Below are 25,029 nucleotides of genomic sequence, written 5' to 3'. Positions count from 1 at the left end.
GAGGAGAAAATGAACTTTGAGTAATCCCATCATTCTTTAGCTCAGAATTCTCTTCCAGAAGGCTCTAATGTGACTCACCATTCTCCAGTAAAACCTGGCCGGCACATACATTTTAATTCAGTCTGGAACTCTGTGCAGTTGCCTCCATTGTAGCAAGTGAGATTTGTCTTCTCATTCCCACAGACTGTTGAGGGTAATCTGCTCTGTCTAGAGAGATAAAAGCAAGAGCCACAGCTGTTCATCTTGTTCATCTCATTCAAGAAAAGTTTTCTGATAAATTCATGTATGTAGTCAATGCCAAGCTAATTAAGTACTCAGGCTGGAGGAGCTACAAATGCTTAATTGTGCTGCATTATGCAAGAATCACTTTCTCCAGTAAAAAGCTCCTGCTGGAGGGTTCTGTGACAAGCATGGCTATACATCTTCCATTTCTACACAGTTTTCGTTTGTGAGATAAGATCTATGCCATGGGGTGGCAATAAATTTTGGGTTGGAAAAGAACTTGCTATAACTAGATTTGCTGCTGCTTTGCTAATAAATCAATAAAGGCCATAGGAAAATTGCATCTCTATAAAGGCCAGGAAGCAAGGACAGCACTCTACTACCCAAGCACTCATGTGATTTCTCTATTGGCTTTCAGAGCTGAACTCCAGTTGCCCTGCCAAGACTTGCTGCTCCCTATGTAATAATTCATAGCTTCGAAGAATGCAAGCCAAATGCTGTCCAGGAGCTTTGTATATAGCACACGATGGTAACTGCATGTGAATTCAGAGTGTGGCTCTCTGATATGGCAACAAAGCTTTACATGTTAAAGAATCCTCATAAAAGGCGGAACAAGTATTAGAAGCTAAGCGGAACTTCACTGTAAGACAAAATCTAGTAATGTGAAGGGACTGATATTTAAAGAGTTTAATAGTGTTGCTTAGGCCCTTTGACCCACTGTGTATGTGCATGGTATCAGATAACTAATAAATATTCAGGAAGTGTAAAATGAATTGAATTTTGTTCTGTTGTGTGTGCTGCAGCTAATGTGGATAGACTAGCTTATATGATGCTAAGTGTGTCTCTTCCCGCAAGAGCTAATCAATTCTACTTTAAAAAGAAGGATATCATAAAGACTTTTCAAAAGAGCCAAAAATGTCAACCAGCTTTGAAAGAGGTCAATTAGCAATGCAAATATGAAGCTTTGTATACATCTTGGTTTTAATAAACAATTCCTGAATCTCATTAGAAGGTATTTTTGAGGGCTTTCATCTTTCAGAACTTGACTTTAATGAATTAGGCAGAAAAAAATTCTGGAGAAGTAGTTACTAGGGCCTATGTGTTTATTTTACTTATCAAAATTCACAGTGAAATATACTAAATTTGATCCTGAATTCTTCTTGCTTTTAAACAGGCAGGTTACCTGTTGGGAACACTTAGCACCTACAACAGTGCCTTGCTTTCACAGGCTCAGAACAGTAACTGTTAAGGAGAGATGTACAACTTCTTATAGGTATGCCTACATGTTATGTTTGCTAGGAGATTCATGCAATTAAGGTACCACCTCTGAATTAGTGTAATGTCTACAGGCTGCCAACCCATTCCAGGTGTTCTTGCCGAAGTTCTGGAATGTATTACTTGTTAATAATAACCCTCTCACCTCCCCATAATGACTCAATTATTTAGTAAATTTAAAGCGGTGTAAGTTGTAAAAACAATAATAACTTCTTACATGGAAATACTGAAGCAATGTGACTTAGAAGAAAAATAGTCTTTCTTATCTCTGTTTATATAGCTTGAAATGGAGGTAGTTACAAGAACTAAAATACTGCTTTTGTAGTTGTAGAAAAATGTGAAATACTTTGAAATGGGCAAAAAAAATCACTGCATATTCTTTCAATGCACTGCTGGGTTTACATAAAGGACTATCCAGGATTATCCACTTTTGCAGTGGTCTGTGCCTTATTACAATTCTGTAAGTTGTAGAAAACAATATTAATATGAAAATCTTGTTCGTCAAAATGCAAATTAGTTTATCTGTAGTGAGCCATACAAATGATTATCACAGTATTGAAGATGACTTCAAATACTAGTTTTCTTGCCCTATGGGATATTAAACAGTTTTGTATTTATTAATAAATTCATTCACTCATTCTTGTTTGTATATATACGTATACATATTCTTTAGATTGTCCTTTGAATTAGTTTTTATATCTTACTAGTTTCCTCATTAATGACAGAATAATTAAAACATGTTTATTTTATATTTGTCTGAGAATTATAATTCCACTGTTTTGAAATTACAGTTGACCCTTGAACAACACATGTTTGAATGGTGTGGATTCACTTATATGTGGATGTTCTTTCACCTCTGCCACCACTGAGACAGCAAAACCAACCCCTTCTCTTCCTCTTCATCCTAATCAACATGAAGACAATCAAGATAAAGATCTTTGATGATCAATTTCCACTAATGAATAGTAAATTTATTTTTTCTTTCCTATGATTTTCTTAATAACATTTTATTTTCTCTAGCTTGCTTTATAGTAAGAAGACAGAATATGACATACAAAATATGTGTTAATTGACTATGTTATTGTTAAGGTTTGTGGTCAACCAGGCTGATAGTTGTTATGTTTTGGGAGAGTTAAAAGTTAAATGTGGATTTTCAACTGCACATCAGCACCTCTAACCCCTGCGTTGTTCAAGAGTCAGCTGTATACTTTAATGTACTGTTTTCGGGATTTTAGAGTATTTACCTGCCTGAAATAGCTCAAGGCATTATTTTAGCAATAGAAGTCATGCCTTCCCTAACAATACTACATTTCAGCTTTTGCATTTATTGTAAATGCATTTGTTTCCCGAGGCCTTGAAACTGTTAGACCCTGGGGCTACAGTTCATGAGACATATTTTCACACAGATGACTGAGAAAATATTTTGCTGAAAATCTGATTTAAACACTACCTTTCTGACCTGTAGAATATCCTGGTAAGTGAGATCCCATCTGAACATGACCAAATTGTGACAGAAGCTACCAGTGTCACCCTGTTCAGCACAGTATATATGTATACCTTGAGGAGAGAGCTTTCCAATTTGACAAGAACAGTGATGCAGAGTATAGCTTCAAAGACCAAGCTTCATATGGACTTTATGCTCACCTGCAAAATTTTCCTGTAAAATTTCCAAAACAGAGGCAAGAATAGCCATTAGTATGACTAATGCAGGTGGCTCCATTTGCACACTGGTGACTCTGGCAGTTGTCTATATCCACTTCACAGTTCACACCAGTGTATCCAGGCTCACATGTGCAGTGGTAGGCTGCAACTCTGTCAGAGCAGTTGCCATGGATACAGGGGTTTGAAAAGCATTCATCGATGTTGAGTTCACAGTGTTTCCCTGACCATCCCAAGGGACAGGAGCAATGATAAGAGCTATAGATGTCTTCACAGTTTCCTCCATGCAAACAGGGGTTGGAGTTGCAGACATTTAACTGCAAACAGCCAGTGACCACTGAATTGGTAGAGATTTTGAGAAATTGCTCTTCCTGAGGTTTATTAATGAAACCATGAACATTTTCAAAGTAAGAGAGATAAATGCCTCCGATTTCTATTGTACTTAGACACCCTTGCAGGCCCTTTATATTGTCAATAGCTCTGTCTCCCACATAAATATCTGTATTATCCTTCAAAAAGTTGAGGCTTCCAGTAGCAATTGTGCTGGTCACAAAAGGTGTTTCGTTGTCCACTTCCATTTGCCACCTGGAGGTCTGGGACAGTGGGTCTGTCATGGAAAGGGTCACTTCGTGCCATGTGCCATCATTCACTGACTGCAAACTTGTCAGACTTAGCATATAAAAGCTGTTGCCACTTTGCAATTGAAAGAATAATCTGGAATCTTGAATGCTAATATTAAGAAATTCAGGCTCTTTTTCTGCATGCAATATTATTACATTTGCATCCCTTGTTCTGAAACCAAATGTGATATTGGTGAGTTCTCTGGTAATATTCCCATTGCTTCTGAATAATATTTGACCGCTTTGTCCATTAAAAACAGCATTTGCAATACCTAATGAGAGAAGGTGATAATAATCAATAACTTTATTAAATCTATAGTTTGCTTAATTACCGTTATTAATAGTAATGATCATTGTGTTAATAACATTGCATATTGACTATTTGATACATGTTACATACTGTGCTAGTTGCTTTTATATTATTTCTAATATCAAACTTTTGAATACAGGTATTATTATTATCCCCATTTTATGGAAGAAGAAGTTGAGACTCACAGAATTTAAGTAATTTTGTTCATGGTCATGTAATTAATAAATAACAAAGCCAGAATATCAAACTGGGATGGTCTGATAGCAAAACCAAAACTATACATTTCTTTTCCAGTGAAATCCTAATGCATGCCAATTTTTATTTTGCATTTGCTCCCACAAATAAAGCATTGATAATTCATTTTACACATAAATAAATTGAGCAAAAAGAAATCACAAATCTAGCTATGGTGACCCAGAAAATTAACAGTGGAGTCTGGCTTCTGATTAAGCTGATGAGTAGGCAGTTAAAAGTAGCATTCCAAATGACTGATTTACTTACCTGGTAAAACTCCAATTATGTGACAAGCTGCAAATTCTGTATCTACACCCAAGTACTTTCATATACAACCATATCAATTGCTCTCATGCTATATGTGAGCAGAGCACTTTGGGCAATCCTATTGCATTTCTCTATTAAAAACTTTTTTCCCCATTCTATAAGATGATTAACAAACAACTTGTTCTGTCTCTTAAAATATCTAATTCTGTCTCAGCTTATGATCTCACCTAATATTTTCTTGAAAAAACAGAGCTACCTCAGATATCCATCAAATCTGTAAACCTAATATTATTTGGATCCACACTGCATTCTATCCTGCTATAATAGACGTATTGTCTGTATTCCCACCAAGGTCAACTCTACCAGTTATAAACTGGGTCCTACTGCTTTTCACCTTTTAAACATATTATTCCTCTATGCATTCTTTTTCTTTCTTGCATCATCATTTCCCCTTCCATTTTGTTGTTTCCCATCAATATACAAATATGTGTAATTGCTTTAATCTTAAAAAATAAAAATACACACGAAACAGTATCCTGACATCCCCCAATCCTGCTGCTTTTTTGTCTATTTTCTTTACCAGCAAAACTTACTAATTTTATATCCCCATGGTCTCACTCTATTATTCCTCATTTTTCTCTTTTATATATGCCACTCAAGCTTTTGTCCCAGTCACTTCACTAAAACCACTTTCATGGTTACAATGAATGACCTCCATGTTACTCAATGCAGTGGCCAATTATCTACTTTTATTGTATCACACTTTTCAGTAGCAAATGACCTGAAAACACTATTAATACATTATCAGGCACTACACCCAACCACCATCATCTTTCATTAAGACTAATTACTTCTTAGTGTCCCTGCTTCTACTGCTCTGCAGATCAATATAACAACCACTCCTTAGTCAAGCTCCATTAGTTATCATCTTTAAAAGAAATCCTAAATTCTAAACATAACCACAAGAGTGTACATGATCTGAGCCAGTTGTGGGTATAATCTCAGCTATCTGGGAGGCTGAGGAGGGTGGATAGCTTGAAGTCAGCAGTTTGAGACTATCCTGGGCAACATAATAAGACCCCGTCTCTCTTCAAAAAAAAAAAAAATTCATGACAAAATTTTGCCATGTTAAAAAAAAAAGCATCTACATGATCTGGCCCCTGATTAACTCTCCAATTCCAATTCATTCACAGGCCACAGCCACAATTTCTTGCCATTCATTGAAGATACACCAAGCTTGTTCCCAGCGCAGGCCTTTTATACTTGCTGTTACTTATACCAAGAATATTATTTCCCCAGATCTTCTTATACTTGGCTTTTCTTAGTGTTAATATCGCTCAAATGTCACCTCCTCTGAGAAGCTTTTCCCTGACTATCCAAGTTAAAAAAACCGCCTCCCTGCATTCACTGTCTATGCTTAATTTTCTTCATAGCTCCCATTACCACTTAAAATTACGTTTATTTGTTTACTTGTTCCTTCACTGTCTTTCTGCACTAGGACATAAGCTTTATGAAACCAAGGATCCTCTGTGTCTAGGTTATCACTAAATCCTTATGCCTAAGCCTGTGTGTCCCTGATGTATAGTAGGTGCTCAGTAAACATAATTAAATGAATACTCTATGAAAATAACTCCATCCTGTATCCTGAAAAGTGAGATAATGATTAGAAACCACAGCAGGAGAAAATTTCAGTGTATCATTCAAGTGTATTATTTGACTTAATTAAATAAATCAATTCCTTTGATCTTATTGTTTTTTACTATGTGTGTGTGTGTGTGTGTGTGTGTGTGTGTGTGTGTGTGTGTGTGTTTCAACCAGGTTTGGAGTTGGGAATTTAGGGAAAAAAAGAGCAACAAGTGTTTCATTACATGTTTTTAAGTAAATGTTAAAATAAAAAATCTCCAAAATTCTCCAACTCTGAAATGAAGACTATGGTCTATAATGCTATATAAATATATTTACTAACTCTGCTGAGCACACTGAAATCATGTCTTCTGATCTGGGTAAAAACCACGATATACCTAATCACTTTTGTACTTCACCTTTTCTTTGGGGAACTTTACCATAATAAGCACACCTGTATTTAAGGTGAGTTGTAAATGTTTAAATCTTGGTACGATACAGAGATGATTAAAGTCCTAAAGGCAAACTCAGAGCAATTTATCAGCTGTACTCTCAAGAGTATCTTGTTCCATTAGACTTAATCTTTTCAATATATTTTAGTTGGAAAGAAAATATAATAGAGTCATAAGATTACATAAAATTAAAATTATGAGAGTAGTAAAAGTGAATTCTGGGTTCATACCTGTCAATTAGAAAATTGATTTATAATTCCTATTGTACACCTATTTATTTACGTTTTCTCTCTACACTAAGATAAGCTATACTTAAAAAATGCTACTGGGACTTTCTGGGGGTGTCAGAGCTGGACTTACTAGTCTTTTGCTATTGGCAATGTTGTAGCAGTAAAAGTTCACTTCACTTCCTTCTGACACATGTTTGTCCAGCTCCTAAACTGTTTGATGTGTAGATTGCAGAGCAGTGTGCATACTGTTTTGGGGCTGCCACTGTTTTTAGAAATCCTATTCATTTTTCCTGTGAAAATATTCAAAACAATTCGGACACCAGGTAGAACATAGCTGAGACTAACAACTTTAGTATTTCTATCAAAAGATCAACAGTAAAATTAATAATTAAGAAATTATTTTAGAATAATTAAAGAAGTAGAATGAAAAAGTATCATTTAAAATTTAGTGCCCCATTAAAAACCAATTTACCTTATTTATGCCAACGCATCATGTTTTCTATACATGTGTGGTACCTATTTCTTAAGTATGAAACATAAAAGTATATACGTTTTTCTAGAGAACTTCCCCAAGTGTATATACAGTGTAATGTATTTCATACAGGTCTTTTAAATAATATGATTTTGAAGTACAGAAACATAAAAGTAAATTCATTTTTCTCTTTTTCTCAGTTACTTCGGGGCCCAGTCTAGATAGTATGTCATTGCTACTGACCTTAAGCCAAACTATCCTCTAGTTCCATTCCATTATTTTAGTGCAGTATTTTTATTTTTATTTTTATTTTTATTTTTTTTTGAGACAGGGTCTTGTTTTGTTGCACAGGCTATAGTGCAGTGGTGTGATCCTAGCTTACTGCAGACTCAAATTCTTGGGCTCAAGCAGTCCTCCCACTTCTGCCTCCTAAAGTGCTGGGATTATAGGTGTCAGTCACTGCATCCAGCATGTATTTTTTTTATAGTAAGCTGATAATGTACTTAATGTCCACAGCAGTTAAGTGAAAATATTAAGTAAATTTGAAGAAAATAATATCAATTTATTTATTTTACAAATATTTATGAGCAAGAAACCACATAGAAAAGTTTCTTGCCTTGTGAAGCTTATATTCTCATGATGAAAGAGATGATAGACAAATATATCAATGCATATGTAACAAAATATCAAGGAACAATAAGAGATAAAAATAAAAATAAAGCCAAGTTGGAGGATGTTTGTGTAGAAACCTGAATGAAGTGACAAAGGTGACCTGTGAATCTCTGGGTTAAGAGAGTTCAGGAGGGAGGTGGTGGTGTGTGGGCCTGACTGTATGGAGCAAAAGAGAGAATGGAGTGAGAATATCAGAAGCATATTGCGGACAACACATTAAAGGGTTTTTTACTCCCTATTCTTTAAGGCAGAGAAATGGGATGGTAACTGGTAGGAATAGGAGTGAGGAAGTGTCAAAAGAAATTTTTTGTAATGATGGAAAAATTGATACTGGTGTGTGAGAGAAAAGTTTTAGGAGCACAATCTTTGAATAAGGGGAAGAAATTAGAATTCAGTGCAAACTTAGAGGGTTGGCTATTAACTGGACTGTGAATTATTTGAAGTAGGTGAGAAGACAGAATATAAATAACAGTATAGTTAGTGGGTGGATATGTCAAAATTGTGAATACTGTATAGTATTCAAATTGCTAACATTTGGAAAATTGTTTTTTGTAGTACAGAAGATGGACAGGAAAACTTTTCACAGTGAGGGAAATTCTCATAGATATCATTAATTGAGTGCCTAACATGTTTGATTATTTACAGATAAGGTCATAGAATCATCACAAAGAAACCGAAGAAGTAGAAAGTGTTCTCCCTATTTTACAGGTGAGGAAGCTTTAGATGATGGAGATCACATGAATTGCCTGAGGCCTCATAGTTAATAAATGGCAATGCGTAACATGCACATATTTATTCTGTGTTCCCAGTAATGAGGGAAGGAAATTCAAATATTGCCTTGTTAATTCTTTTTCAGGAAATCAGTTTTAAATGATTAAGCATCTAGGTTTAGTGTTGCTGTGACCTCCATTTCCTATCCAGACAGCCACCAAGGGCAGGATGAGGCAAGAGGCCAGTCAGTATTAGCCTACTCGCATAGGGGAAACAACCATAGATTAATTTAATAAACTGGCTTTGTCTATACTCTTTTTCTGTGTTTGCTCTTGGAACAACTCAAATGTCGCAACTTAACTGGTGAGATGGTAGGTTTGAACTCTACCTACATTCAAATCCTTGAAGCACCGGCTGGCACTGGGCTCCGTGAGGACACGGGCTGAATCCACACCACTGAACCTCCTCACAGGCTTTCCCACTTGTGAGGGCAGGACAGGAACAGGAGAAGTCATCCCACCGGGAATGGCAAACACCTCCATTGTGACAGGGGTTGGACTGAGCAGAAAAGAAATCAAAGGTATAAAAAGCACTGGCAACTAAATAGAAAAATGTTGACGGTGAAACCACATATCTGTTTTTTTAAAATGCTAATTTCCCTGCATCTTTACATTTTAAACTTTTAAGATCCATTGTTAACTAAATAGAATAAAAATGACTACTGCCATTACCAACTCCTTTCTAAAAGGGCAGAGTGGTGGCAGAGAGAGAGAAAAGATATAAAATTGATCCATAGCACAAGGAGGGTTTTTCAAGTATAGCAGTGTCCTCTGTAATTTACAAATTACCAGGCACTTTTTCACATGCACTAATTATCATTTGAGGAAGGGATTCTTACTCCTGGTTTTATAGATGATAAAAAGAAGGTGTTTCCAGTTGCCCAAGATCCTACACAGAAGCGAAACAGTGAAACTTGGTACTTAGGTCCTCTGGATCCCAACTCAGTGAGTGCCCTTCCCACATTGGTCTGCCTCTGAATCAGAGACATAGTATTATTATTTGAGTTCTCACAAGGTTGCTCACAAAAAGTATTCAAAATGAAAGTATTTAAAAAGAAATTTATTAGAGCATGAACTGTGTTTGTCCTGGGTCTACTATTAACATATGATTTAGGCTAGTTACATAACCTTTCTAAACTTCAGTTACTTCATCTGTAAATAATGTAAATTGGGACAACAATAATGCTTGCTTTCCACAGTAGTCCTTCAATAGAACTAAGTGGATTAATCCATGTAAAATAGTGCCTAGTACATTGAAAATGTTCCATAACTATGTTACAATAATTCATTTGTGTATATTTAGAACCAAGCTTAGTGTAGGGCCATAGTTGGAGCTCAACAAACGCTCAACACACAGAAATGCGTTTCCTTTTTTTCCTTTGAAAGGTCATGCAGAGCTGACAAGTTCTTGTATTTAAGCAGCTCTTAGAAGAGCACATAGAATATTTAAAGTAAAGCTTGGGCTTTGAGAAATTATATTTCGGAAGATTTCAACTACCAGAAGGAAATTACCTCTCAGATTTCTCTTGTTGTTTCTGACTTAATAAAAGTTCAAAACAATAGTAGTTGGGCATTTAAAATAAAGTTAACAATATCATCCAAAAAGAGTTAATTCAGTTAAACCTCTGGTGTGCCATTAGGAGTTTAGGAATTGAAATATTATTATACCTAAGTAATTTGATTGCTGTGAGGGTGAGAGAAGCCTATAGCCGAAGTTACTTTGGTTAGTTAAATAGATCCTGATACCAGTAAGATCAAGGCCTCATTTCTATGGCTCAATGTAAATTTCACAGTCTTGTTGGAACAATATAGATGAAATATTATTCTATACTGGTGGGTCAGTAACATCATCTTTATATACAAAGAATGGTTTTAATAAGTTATCTTTTTAATAAAGTAAAAGTTTAGCATACAGTATATACCTAGTTTGTATGAGTAATCATTACCTTGCAGCTGTTGTCTCCAGCACAGCCTTGGGTTACATTGACAAGAACTGGATTGAGAGATGCATTGTTTGTTGGATTTGGAAAGAATTCCAGATTTTGGTTGTTTAGTCTTACATCTTGGATACAGCCTTTGAAGAATCCACCATTAAGTTCAGTCTCTTGCTTGTCAGGTAGGCCACCAATGTAGATGACATCTCCCTTTTCGATTTTCCACGTAGAAGCAGAAATAAATCCTAGGTTTTGTGAAGACTGATACAGTTCAATTTTATATGGCTTGATTTTCAAAGATATCAAGTGGACATTTCCATCATTAAGAACAAATTTTACTACTAATTTGGGAGAGTTTGGAGTCAGCATTGCTAGTCTGCCGCGCTCTAGCCAGACACGGATATATTGATAAGTGCTGTTTTCCAAAGCTAGAAGTAAGCCTGATGGTTGAAGCGTTCGGACAAACATGGAGAGGCTGATGGTGTCTCCATAGCTCTCATCAAGAGTAAAGATGACATAACCAGTGGAGTCATCCTGGCCAAATCTGCCTGCCACATACTCTTCAATGTCAAAATAGAGGAGGAGGAGAAAAAAAAAGAAACATCTTAAGGCTCAAAAGACAGAAGGGATGGAAGACGAAAATTATACATTTCACACACACACATGCACACAAGCATACACACTCATACATAGCTTTTAAAGTTCAGGACAGGTTTATTAAATAGAATAATGATTTGGCCTCTTTCTGGACTTCTGAGTTTACTTTAACCCTAAAATAACTATATTTTGGTTTGTAGTTTACACTTCAGGCATATTGATCACAAAACAGACCAAAAAGATCTCTGCACTGATAAACTAAAGAATCTCCCCTTTGCTGCCCTAAAATATGGGCCTTAATGGTGGTATATCAGACACTACTATACTCCAACCTGGTGGAAGAAATTTTTGGACAAGGGCACTTCATGCAACCCTCTGCAAGTGGACTGTGCAGGGAGTCATAATCTTTGCTACTTAGAGGCATGCTGAAGCAAACATGTCATTAAACCTAATTATTCTTTGTAAAGAAATTTTTTAGAGCCTGGAATGTATTTGTCCCAGGTCTGCTATTAACATGTGATTTAGGCTAGTTACATAACCTTTCTAAACTTCAGGTTTTTAGTCTGTAAATAACATAAATTGGGACAACAGAAATCAAGAATTAGATGATTAAATCTTCTCTTGGGATGACATCTCACATAAGAAGCAAGGCAGTTGAACAAGGAAAAAGAAGGACCCTTCCTTCTGTGGTCCTGGTTGGGAGTAGGAAAGGCACAGGAAACAGAGAACTTGGGGCAAAGCTGAGTATTAAACCCACCCTGCATTTCCTGTGGTCAGAGGAGTTAGTGATGCTCATCTGTGGCAATGCTATTGATGTGCATCACCTCAAGAAAACTCTTGAGATGTATAAAAATAAAAACTGACATTGTAAAATATGGGTGACATAGTAGGAAGAAAACTTCCCATCCTCATCAAGCTTACATTCTAGTTGGAGGAAAGACACCAGACACAGACAAGGAAGCAAACTATATAATATGTCAGATGGTGAGAAATCCTTTAGTATAAAATGTCAGGTAGAGAAAGGGAATAGGGCGATTTGGAGGGGTGGAATTGTAATTTTAAATAGAACAATCAGGGAGGAACTCTGAGAAAGTGATATCTGAGCAAAAGCCCAAAGTTATACTACATTATTGTAGCAACTCAAGAGAGAAATGATAATGGCTTGGATCAGTGGTAATGTGAAAGTGGTCAAAAGTGGTCAGATTTTCAAAATATTTTGAAGGTAGATACAACAGAATTTTCTGGAGCAAGTTCATCTCTAAGGCTTTGGGCCTAAGCAACTGGAAGCATGGACTTTCTATTTGCAGAGATACGGAAGAAAACTGGAGGAAAAGATTTTTGGGTGAGGTGGGAGTCCATATTAAATTTGAGATGCCTTTTTGGATATCCAAGCAGAAGTGACTAGTGGGCAGTTGATATAGAGGTTCAGGCAGGATGTTCTGATAATGTGGGATTTGTTAGTATATACCACCTTCCATCGGCCCCACCTTCAACATTGGGAATCACATTTCAACATGAGATTTGGAGGGGGCATACATCCAAACCATATTAGATATTTAGAGCCACAAGACTGGATGAGATCACCAAGAGAATGAGTATATATAGAGAAAATGAGAGGTCCAAGAAGTAAGTCCTTGGGCATTAGACAAGTAGAGGTAAAGGAAATGATGCAAGAGTAGCCAGTAAGATAAGAGGAGAACCAAGGGAGTGTGGTGTCCCATAAGCCTAGTGAGAAAATAGTTTTTCAGGAGGAGGGAGTGTTTAATTGTGTTAACTGGTATTGAGAAATCAAGTAAGATGGGGACAGAATTGACCATTGATTTTGCAGTCTAGAAAGCATTGATAACTTGACAAGATCACTGTCTTCAAGATATTGCTGTCTTCAAGATTTTATATCCCAGTACTAACCAGAAAAAAAGAGCATATTTCAGCATGTCTAAATGTCATCATATGGCCCAGCTGAAGTTTGGGCAAAGGTAAGACACATTTTAGTTTAGCTTAACTATAGTAAAACTTGCTTAGACAATCAACTGTGTTTGAAGATCTTCTGCATAAAAGGCTATATTTTCAGAACTCTGACTTGATTTAATACAGGAACATTGCATTTTGAATCTGCATTTGGAGACCACCTGCTCCAGGCAACTACCGGTAGCTTTCAAAAGTGTACTGTTAGATAAAATAACCCCTTTGAAGAGGTTAACATCTCTGAATACACTGCAGCACTTTCATATGAGATAAAATGCTTAATAAGAAAATTTGGCCCTTGAAGCCCCTGAGGTTTGAAGATATGCCCAGAATCACTCAACCTCAGGGGTAGCGGGGTGCCTGCTGGTCATCCCAGGATGCCTTCAGCATCACTTTGTGGATCTGGATTAAAAGCCAAAATGCAGAGTATTTTTTTTTCTCAGAAGCCTGATTCTTCAGCAATCCTATTTCTCAGAAATCACAAGCAACTAATCAGCATGTGTGATTTGCTACATGACTTTAGAAACACCTGAAGACATATGACTTGGCTGTGGATTTGGAAGGGTGATACTCATACAAGTGGTTGACATGTCATGAAGAGGAACAACACATACAGATAAAAAACAATTTTGGCAAGCTTTAATGATTGATGGAATACAACAAGATGAAATTTAACAAGAATAAATAAGAGCCACTTCGATCTAAATGTGCGTTTATAAGATTAGAGTGGGAGAAACAGGACTATGTGGCATCATGAGTGACAATGATACAAAGTGACGCAATCACGAAGTGTGGCTGCCAAAAAGTCAATGTTGTATTAAGCTGAAAAACAGAAGCACATTATCTAGAATAAGGGAGGTTATGGCCCTGTGTGTCACTGTATCATCCAGCACATACAGACATCACATCTTAGAAGGAATACAAAGAAGCAAATATATTCCAAAACCTGCAAGCAGCTGATGAAGTGTCGGAAAACTATGTCATATGGCAAACATTAGAAGAAACAGGATGTTTAGCCTGAATAGAAGTGATGGTTTAGATGGCTCGAGATACTTTTCTTCAGATATTAAGTATTCTCAAGCAGCAGGCAAGTTGAGATTTTTATTTGCATGTGTTCCAGAAATGCAACAAGGTCAATGAAGGAAAGCTACGGGCAAATCCTATTCTATTTCAATATAAGGAAATAACTTTTGGGCAATTTTTGGCAAGATGGAGTGAGTGATCTCTCTATTTGTGAAGGTGTTTGAGCAGAGATTTGAGCCACTACATTTGGCAGGTACAATTGTGTTAAAAATTCAGTCATAGAATGAATCTTTTTCTATATCTAGGAAACTATAATTCTAAGAGAATAAAATTCTCAAAATCTAGGTATATGGCTGAAAAGAAGAGATATGTAAATTGCTTTTGTAAGTCAAATGTTCACCAGAGAGCAAGAGGTAGGTGATGCCATTTATTCTGAGTAGTAGTATCTTGAATGCTGCATGTTCTTACAAACAGTCAACACAAGATATGCTGAGAGAACCTTATGGACACTTCTGTGACCTAAGCTTAGTTAAATCCTTTTCAGCACTCTTTCTGTTGAGAAATTAGATTATTTAAAAAAGATCAACCTTGATACATTGGAAATCACTATGTCTTTTGTGTTTAGTCAGCCACCAAAATCCTCTATCCAGTCTCCTTGTTCATTAAAATGTATACCATGGTTGGAAAACATTGAGCCAAATATGAGTGCAAGTCATGAATGGGCTGAAGTTTGCCTTTGTGCTTTTTAGTATGTCTCCTCCCTCTTGCACGTATATGTACAGTAGCAGAAAGACTCCATGTTCTCATTACCACTTAAAAGCAGTTTTTAGTGGGAATAAACTCTCCAGGAAACATTCCTTCAAGATAACAGAAAATACAGAATATTTTAATTTTATAATGAAGAGGTGATATGAAAAATATAATTTTCCTTAAATTTATACCAAGAATTTTCAGAAAGAAAAGATTTCACAGAACTCTCTCTGTCTGTAAAGTGATCTTTTGAAGTCAAATATTTTCTTGAGGGTTAAGCAGTTTCAAATAATGTTGGAGTATAAGGAAACTGGGAGAAGTGGGGGAAGGGTAACCAATTCAGGAACTTGGTTTGAAAAGTTCATGGTTTTCCAAGTTGGATAAAATAAAGAAAACCAGAACCCAGTGGATTGGCATCTCTTGAATCTATTTACTAGGACAGTTAACATCACCATGGTCAGTATTAACCTCATGGGTCACTGCATCTGGAAGCCAGTCAAAATGAGTCAGCATCTGTTTGTTATTTTGTATATGTAGTAAAAATATTGCCTTAGGTCAATTAAATTTTTCTTCAAAAAGTGAACATTGCCTCAGCATAATTTCCCTTTTTCTCCTTAAAAAAAATCACAAAACAACTTGCCATTCTACTTAAAATATTACGTAGAGCTAGTAGATACCATACTTCATTGTCAAACAGGTCCGTGATTTGTAATGAATATTGTGGTCGGGGGAAACCCTTGAGTAGTTTCTAATAATTCTTAGACATTTGAACATGGAATAGAGTATAGGCTAAGACTGGTTTTAATTTTACTTCATATAAAGCAGAGAAGACTACTTACCAGATGTTGTCCTACTTCAAGTTACTCTAAAATCTTGGGGTAAATTACAGCTGAACTTCAAAGCAGTCCGTTACAATTACCTCTCAGACTTTTTCAATGTATGATAATAATAATAAAAAGAAACAGGTATATATTGATCACTATCAACAGCAATCTCTAGAACAATGTTGGAAGTTAAGGATTTTGAAATACTTTGCAAACTGTGGTTTACTAGAGAAATTAGATCAATTAGTTTATGGCATCTACCAAGTTCTACTATTGTTACTTTCCACATTTTTTTTTCTTTTTTTTTTTTCTTAAGACACCTAGTATATTATCTGTCTTCTCCAGGGCAACCTTGGAAAAGATACCTTTGAATAAAATTGGCGTTTTATAAAAACGCTATGCTTAATTATGATTGTGGAGCAAGTGTGAATTGCATGGAAAGGAGAGCAAGGAAATGAATATTTACCGAGAATTTACTATGCACAAGATATCATGCTAGTATGTGGCACTGACAAATTTTATGTCTAAGGTTTTTTTTTTTCAAAAGATTATTTCTCTTTCAAATAAGATTTACAATAAATTTCTGATATGTGACCAATGGTAAAATTGCAGTAGCATTTTGCAAACACAAAGATGAAAACCTCTTTGGAAAAGAGCTATCTGCTTATTTTTTTTACTTCTCTGTATGAGTGAAACTGATGTCCTATGAATCCACTCAAAATTAATTAACGCACATCACTGCCCTCTTCTTTTCTTTCTCATCAGTGGGCAACCAGCAGCAGAAGTCTTGTGGGGTCATTATGTTTCATAGCAGGCAGAAGCAGTCTGGCTGTTTTTGCTGTTTCTGCTCTGCTCTGAGGCATGGCACTCCTAGCCATAGCACTCAGCTTTCTCTCACCTCTCAGACAGTTGGGGCCTTCATAGGGCCTGTGGCAGTCACACTGGTAACTCAGCCACAAGTTGATGCAGCGTCCTCTGCTTTGACAAGGTTGGCTTTCACACCAATCCTTTCTCACACAGCCTGCCTTGACATTTAATGATGAGCCAGACGAGATGTTCTCCAGGGTAATGTGATTCCAATCAATTTTAATGTCTTGGAGACAGCCTACAAACGAAGGTGTGGATGGCATATTATAGAAGTTAAGCAGAGCAACACCATTGCTGGTCATTCCCACTGGTAAACCACCCAAAAAGGAGTTCTGAAAAGCACATATTGATTGATCACTTTCAAGTGGAGTAGGAGCTTTCGCGATGCATTTCTCCTTACAGGAGTCGTCGATTAAGGTAAGGGTCACAGCCTCTGCAAATATTACCTCCACGAAATGCCACTCTCCATCGCTGGTGTTGTGGGAAATGAACAGAAGCACCTTTGACTGATTATTGACCTGAATTGATAAGTGAATGTAGCCACTTAGCAGCTCCAGCTTCACAAACACATCCCTGTTGCTTCGGAAAAGTAGAAGAGCCATTGGCTGAACAGTCTGAAACCTGAGGGCTATGTTACAAACTGAGCCCTTGGTTGTCACTGAGCCACTTTTGACCCACAGGAAGCCATCGCCCTCAAATGAAAGTGTGGTTGCGATTTCACACAGGGACCCGGTGTAGCCAGATGGACATAGGCAGCTGAATCCATGCTGGCCATCTTGGAAGTGAGGGATGCATGTTCCATTATTTAGACATTGCTGATGGGTACAGCCCAGGAGAATATCAGAACAGTCCCTTCCTCCATAAAAAGTTCTAGAAAGGTTATCAAATGGGCAATGGCAAGTATAATTCCCAGGCAAGTTCTCACAAGTACCACCATTTTGGCAAGGGTTTGAAGAACATTCATTGACGTCTTCTTCGCAGTGGATTCCTGTTAAATAATAAAAAAGGGCTAAAATTATATATATTCACATCAAAAATAGAAGTTTCACGTAATTTACTTGTATAATCTTGCAGAAGTGCATGAATAGCTCAGGTTTAGGACTGTAATGGAGTAAAATGTAAACACTTAATAAGGAAAAGTAAAATCAATTCTATATTCCACCTGTGTCATGAAGAAAAAAGATGCAGTCATGGCAGGCTTTGTATTCTTCCTCTAGGAATAATTTGCCAAATACTGTGATTGATTCCAACTATCACTGTCAGATATACATGCAGCACTGAATATCATACAAACAAAAACAAGAAAAAAGATCGCTCTTGGCACTGATGTAAGATACAATTTATTTATTTCGAGACTTTTTTCTCAGACATTGTATATTCTGTCCCTGGCTGCAGATTTCACTCTATTCTACTTGGAAACAGTGATTTTGCCTTATATCTTGTTTATACTTCCCCATAATTCCTAAAAGTTTGCCAGAAATATAAATAGTCCAAACAACTCTCACCATGAAGGACTTCTAAGGTGAATGGAAGGCCCCATTTCCTCCTTCCCTGCAATGCCAGTGTAAAACATGATGTCTATACCATAACAAGCTCCTTTCCTGTTTATTATTTTAACTTCACTTTCTACTTTTTTTTTCTGATTCCAAGTCAAAAAATATATCTAATTAGGGAATTATTAGAATTCATTTAAAAAAAGTAATATGAATACGTATAACACCTTTTAATAAGCGTGGCTGTTGCTTTTCCAGGGAGATTCAAATGAACAAAGAGTAACAATAAGAACAGACATATGCGTAGGACTTTATGGTTTCCCCAACATCTTCATTCAAATTATTATATTTGTGCTCACTACAATTTTCTGAGGTTTTCAAAGCAGATATTCTTAGTTCTCTTTCACAGAGTAAATTGAGGTGTAGAAAGAGTGAAGTCTAAGTTCCAAAGCACTTCTAACATCAGACCCTACATTAACTAGTTTTTTTTGTTTGTTTTTTTTTTTTCGTTTTTGAGATCGTGTCTCGCTCTGTCGCCCAGGCTGGAGGGCAGTGGTGCAATCTCAATCTTGGCTCACTGCAAGCTCTGCCTCCCGGGTTTACACCATTCTCCTGCCTCAGCCTCCCGAGTAGCTTGGACTACAGGCGCCCGCCACCACGCCTGGTTAATTTTTTTTTTTTTTTTGTAGAGATGGGGTTTCACCATATTAGCCAGGATGGTCTCGATCTCCTGACCTCGTGATCCACCCGCCTCGGCCTCCCAAAGTGCTGGGATTACAGGTGTGAGCCACCACACCTGGCCTAAATTAACTAGGTTTTAAAAATCCAACCTGGCCATGCTCGGTAGCTCACAACTGTAATCCCAGCACTTTAGGGGGCCTAGCTGGGTGGATTGCTTAAGGCCAGGAGTTTCAGATCAGCCTGGCCAACATGGTGAAATCCTATCTTTACTAAAAATACAAAAACTGGCCAAGCATGGTGGCGCATGCCTGTAATCCCAGCTACTCTGAAGGCTGAGGCAGGACAATCTCTTGAACTCAGGAGGTGAAGATTGCAGTGAGCCAAGATCATGCCACTGCTCTCCAGCCTGGGCAACAAAGCGAGACTCTTGTCTCAAAAAAAAAAAAAAAAGAATCCAATCTGACACACAGTTTTTTAATTAATAATTTAGTGTATTCTCATTTATTGTTTGTTATTAATATGCATGTCTTATTTTTCCATTTAACTCTATGCCCAAATGTGTGTTTTTAAAAATTTAAACCAAAGATTCCTATATTGATAATGTTGGATCAGAACCCCAGCTATGCTGCTTGATTGTGAGCAGGTCACATATACTTTCTATATTTGTTTCCTCATCTATGAATGGGATTAATAATAGTATTTACATCACGAGGCTCTTTTAAAGATTAAACCAGTTAAGACATGTAAATATTCATAACATTGTTTGGTATATAACAAGTTCTCAATAAGTTTTGGCCAATACTAAAAAGTAGTAGGAAAGAATTACCCTCTAATGACAAAATTCAAATAGTACTGTAGTCATTGAGAGAGACTATTTAGAAAGTGTGGGCATGTGTAGTGTCCTGTAAATTGCGTAATTTTATATGAGAAATTTACTTGGACAGCATATTAGTCTAGAATCTCATCAAGTTGTGCTTTCCATGAAGGAAGGAAAATGCCTGTTTTATTCACCAATATATGTCTAAAACATAGCATAGTACCTGGCTTGTATTCACCATTTAGTAATTAATTTTGGAATGAATGAATTCATCATGACCTTCCTAAAGTGATTAAATATTTATATAATGCATTTAATCTGATCCAAAACCAAAGTGATCTTTTTGTGTAAACTTTTAGACAAACGTATGAAATGTTAATCTGACGATGTACTGCCATTTATGATCTACACGTCTAGGCACTTGATTGGACTCTACTGTACTTATATTTTACTGTACTGGGATTACTTTCATACAAGCTTTGTCAATTCAAAAATATTTCAAGCTCTGTGAAAACCGTGGACATATTATAATCTTTCTTAGAGACGCCCACAGCACCTGTACAGTGCTAAGGGTATGAATGATTAAATGTTTGATGGATAGAAAGAATAGAACTGAATGGAAGTAATCTATTTGTTATACAATTATCCTGGGAAGCACAGAAAACTGACACAGGAATTACAGGTAAACTACAGTATATTCTAAAGGGGTGTTCCAATACAAGTTTAATATAACTGAATATGAAAAGTTGAAACTTTTGTATTAGAAGATATTTTACTTAAACTTGATTTTCAAAGGATTTTAAGAACAAAAAAATTAATAACAAGTATTTGATTGAGGGTAAAACTATTGAACAACTGATATGGCATAACAAAAGCAAAACACGATTTTTTCTCCTACCCTATCTTGAAACATATTTAACTGGGGAAGGGTTTCATTGCCTCTAGATAAGTCTTCAGCAGACCCCAGGACTTTTCGGCTCACTATTAGATAGTAGTGTCACGATCTCTTAAAAAAAAAAACAAAGCAATAAGAATGGTCAGTCACATATAATGATCAAAAATTTCAATGCAATTTAGAATAAAATCGTCTTTGTCTGCTAGGCTAACTTCAGGCTGTCTTGAAGGAAGATTTGGAAGCCTTCTTCCCTCTTTCTATCCTTCCATTGTCTCCATCTTCAGATTTATGTGTTTTGTCCCCTAGAAGACTGAACTTGGTGGCAAAAAAAGGGGGAAGGGGGCACAGAAATTATTCACTTGACTGATACAATATGGCTCCATGGTTTCTGAGACTGGGAGGTGTTTAAAGTTGGTATTTGTTATAAGGGACACTTATGACTTCCTTGGAGCCCACTCTATTCCTGCAGCTGAGACTCACTCTAGAGAACTGTGAAGGCAGGCAGACGTTGCCTCTCTTTTTACTGGCGGCTCATATTTGCTCCTTCCTCAACCCCTTTGCTATTGGTTTACTGACGTTTACTCCTTCTTCCTTCTTTATCAACTCTTTTAGTGGGATTCTTTGACCTTCCAACAGAGGCCTATTGGGAAGAACTATTTTTACACAAACTGCCTACTAATGCTCCTACCATGGGTTCCCCATCTAGACCACAGGATTCACGTACCCTTAACCTGCAGTAGGAGGGGAGCACATTTACTTTCCAACACAGCACAGCAGCAATTCTTTCTCTCTCTTTCCTGACACCTCGGGTTAAGAGTCATCACGCTTTTTCATCTTTGGATTCCTCAGGCAGGTGGAGAATCTAGTCTAAGTTTCCTGTTCCTTCCCTTCCACCAACTTTAGATGACACTGGAGCACTCCTGGAAGCTATGGTCACTCTGGTTTAGAATGTGGCATCCAGCCCTCAATTTGATGAGTAAGGTTCAACTCACAACACAGCAGCAAGCCTCTCCAACGAAATCTCCTTATAGACCCACTCCTTCAAATTGCCTCTGAAGAATTTTCACACATCCCTGACATAAGTATAAACCTTTTGGCCAGGCACGGTGGCTCACACCTGTAATCCCAGCACTTTGGAGGCCCAGGCGGGTGGATCATGAGGTCAGGAGTTTGAGACCAGCTTGACCAATATGGTGAAACCCTGTCTCTACTAAAGATACAAAAATTAGCCAGGCGTGGTGGCGTGTGCCTGTAATCCCAGCTACTCAAGAGGCTGAGGTGGGAGAATAGCTTGAATCTGGGAGGCGGAGGTTGCAGTGAGCTGAGATTGTGCCACTGCACTCCAGCCGGGGCAACAGAGCGAGACTCTGTCTCAAAATAATAAATAAATAAAATAAAATAAAAAATAAAAAAGTATAAACCTTTCAAAAACCTAAAGTCTGTTATCTGTATTTACTTTAACATCTTGTGTTTTTATTTCTTTCATAATTCACTTTGGTACCTGACAGCAACCATATCTTGACCCCTTAGATGAAATTTCAATTGACCATTTTCTCAATTTATAGAATAGCTACTCTATGATGTACTCTCAGAGTACTCTCAGACTACAAACTAGAAGACGTAGACCTAGCCTGAATGTATTTACAATATAATGGAAGGACAAAATATATATTTATGAAAATGCATTGTACATAGTATGTTCCCAGCAGATGTCGATAATATATGAGAATAAAACTCAGGCAACATTAGAGCATATTTAGGAAAGTTTTAGGAAAAATACTTTGAATGATAGATAATGAAACATCTTTAGATATGAAATCTTCATATTAAATTTAAGTCAAATCAATAAATATTGATTACATATCATGTATAAAATATTGCAGATAACATGAAGTTCGAACTAGTCCCTGTCCTCAATGAATTTAATAAAGGAAAAGTAAGACAAATTTGTGAAAAACTAAATGATAGTGCAAGTCAAGACAATACTGAAGAGATTTCACTAGACAGTACACAATAGATTCTAAGTGAATAGTTTGGGCAGTAGCTGCTGCAGAGCCTCTGGAGAAGGGTATCTCTTCAGGCCTGGCTGGGAAGGTCTTATAGAAATAGAATTTAATATAGGTTTTCAAATATAGGTCAAGTTGATAAAGAGGTCCTTGTGGGCGGACGCAGTGGCTCATGCTTGTAATGCCAGAACCTTGGGAAGCCGAGGTGGGCGGATCACGAGATCAGGAGATCGAGACCATCCTGGCTAACACGGTGAAACCCCATCTCTATTAAAAATACAAAAAATTAGCCAGGTGTGGTGGTGGGCGCCTGTAGTCCCAGCTACTCAGGAGGCTGAGGCAGGAGAATGGCGTCAACCCGGGAGGCGGAGCTCGCAGTGAGCCGAGATCAAACCACTGCACTCCAGCCTGGGCGACAGAGTGAGACTCTGTCTCAAAAAAAAAAAAAAAAAAAGAAAAGAAAAAAGAAAAAGAAAAAAAAAAGAAAAAAGAAAAAGAGGTCTTTGTGTGTGTAAATAAGTGAATAAACAAAACACTCATCGATGGGAAAGCTTAACATTTAGAGGTGACAATGAGTTTGGCAATCTGGTTGGCATGTACAATTTACCTAGAAAAATAAACACACAAAGGTTAAATGTAGCCAGAGTGGAGAAGGTCTGGGAACTTACGAGGTTTTTAGCTGTATTTATTTATTTTCTGGCAGTGGGGAGTCATACGTAATTGTTGGACAGAAAACCAACATGGTTTCTCATAAAGATCACCTTCACAGGGATATGTAACAGAATGAAGTGGGAAGAAAGTAGAGACAGGAAGACCAACTAGGCAGCTATTAAAACTATTGACACATAAGCTTATTAGAGCTTGAAATAAGATGTTTATTTCTTTACAATTTACAGTACACTCTCATTTATCCTTTGTGGGCAAATAAGTGCAGATGGTCATGCTTTCTATACCATTGCCTACTGTTTTTTTTCTTATGATTGCTAAAATTTATGCATTTGATCTTTCATAAAATGTCAATAATTTGATTATGTGTTTCTTTAAATATAAACAGAAAAGCAAGTTTTAAATTTTACCATCACTTTAAAAAGAACAAAAAAAGGAGAGAAAGCCTGTATTAAGATCAATAGTCCGAAGAACAGCAAACAGAATTAGGTATGAAAAGTAGAATGATAAACAGCGATTTATGCTTTTACTTCACTTAAAATCAATTCTATTGACATGTCCAATGTAAAATAAAGTCCAACATATTTATTTGATGAACCCAGAAAACTAAAAGTGGGAAAAAAGATAAAAATGTCTCCTATTGGTTATTGGAGGAGCTGGGCAAAGAACAAGATCTGTTGTCAATCAAGATAAAAGGATTAGGACATATTTATGGGACCATTGGGGCCATTCAGTCTTCTTAATTGGGTATTTTAGTTGAATACAAATTGCTTATTTATGTGCAATTATTTATAGTATGGGATGGATTACTTGAAGCTTATTGTTATTTGCTTAAAGTCAATTAATTTAATTAATTAAAAACTGTCACCTCATTTTACTTTCCTAAAATTTTTTTAGTTCAGTATCTGATTCCATAATAATACTGTATTTCAAAAATAATCATGATAGCAAAAATTTCTACCACTTGGTATATCTCATATTTCCTTGAGAATAAATCATATTAATGGATAAAAGGAACGTAGACTTTATATTTAGAATTAATATCATTGGATATGAAGATGATTTTTGTCATAATTCTCACTTTGCTGAAGCCATGGTTAATGAAATATCTAATATGAAGTTATATAATTTACCCTAGATATATATATACTAGACATATATACAAAGACATATACAAATGAGGAAGTTTCATCTTGATCTGTTTTGATTGACTTAGGATTTTAAAAATTTTAATAAATAGAAATCAAAGTAGAAATTATCTAAAGCCAAAAACTCAATGCATAAATATATCCACTTTTCCTTTCTCAAAAGTTTGAATTTTCATTTGATAGTAATATCTGTTATAGCATTAAACAATAGTTGCTAAATAAACATCTTAAAAACACTAAGCATGTTGCAAATTAGCGTATATAAGAAGAGAGTTAGTTACCTATGAGCATTGCCATTAAAATGTGAAAACCATGTGTCCTGGCTCCAAACATCTTTCTGTTAAAAAAGAGGTATCCATCCAAACACCTACTAGGTTGACAGAGTGAGTTTCTGATCATTTTGGACCATATCCAGAAGTGTGGGCTTGTTCTTCAATGTCACCTCTTTCTCGCAGGTAGAGAGTATGGGGACTTGGTTTTGACTCATTTCCCTCCAAGCTGGATCAGTGTGGCTTAGTGTAAGACTCATTTGTGCTGCTTACCAGGCAGATTTGTTA

At 36.6% G+C, this 25,029-nt stretch overlaps 1 protein-coding gene across 14 annotated transcripts in view; it reads right to left on the bottom strand.

Annotated features, from left to right (window-relative positions):
* CRB1 (crumbs cell polarity complex component 1) overlaps positions 1 to 25,029 on the bottom strand; it is a 276,952-nt gene that overhangs the window by 39,702 nt on the left and 212,221 nt on the right. For 10 of the 14 annotated variants that reach the window (NR_047564.2, XM_047416573.1, NM_201253.3 and 7 more), the window contains 5 exons: positions 16,798 to 17,754; positions 10,753 to 11,300; positions 9,140 to 9,305; positions 3,142 to 4,048; positions 79 to 207 (listed from right to left, as the gene is read on the bottom strand). Coding sequence is in view for 12 of the 14 variants with exons in the window: in XM_047416573.1 (XP_047272529.1) it covers positions 79 to 207; positions 3,142 to 4,048; positions 9,140 to 9,305; positions 10,753 to 11,300; positions 16,798 to 17,754 (2,707 nt within the window). In the remaining 2 variants the exon portion in view is untranslated. Of the gene's footprint in view, positions 1 to 78; positions 208 to 3,141; positions 4,049 to 9,139; positions 9,306 to 9,645; positions 9,781 to 10,752; positions 11,301 to 16,797; positions 17,755 to 25,029 lie in introns of all 14 variants that reach the window. The other 4 variants (NM_001257965.2, XM_017000852.2, NR_047563.2 and 1 more) reach the window with 3 other exon arrangements.

This window comes from Homo sapiens, chromosome 1 (genome assembly GCF_000001405.40).
Source record: "Homo sapiens chromosome 1, GRCh38.p14 Primary Assembly".
NCBI lineage: Eukaryota > Metazoa > Chordata > Mammalia > Primates > Hominidae > Homo > Homo sapiens.
Note: the sequence above shows the minus strand (reverse complement) of the source record. Positions and strands in the feature narration are given on the sequence as shown.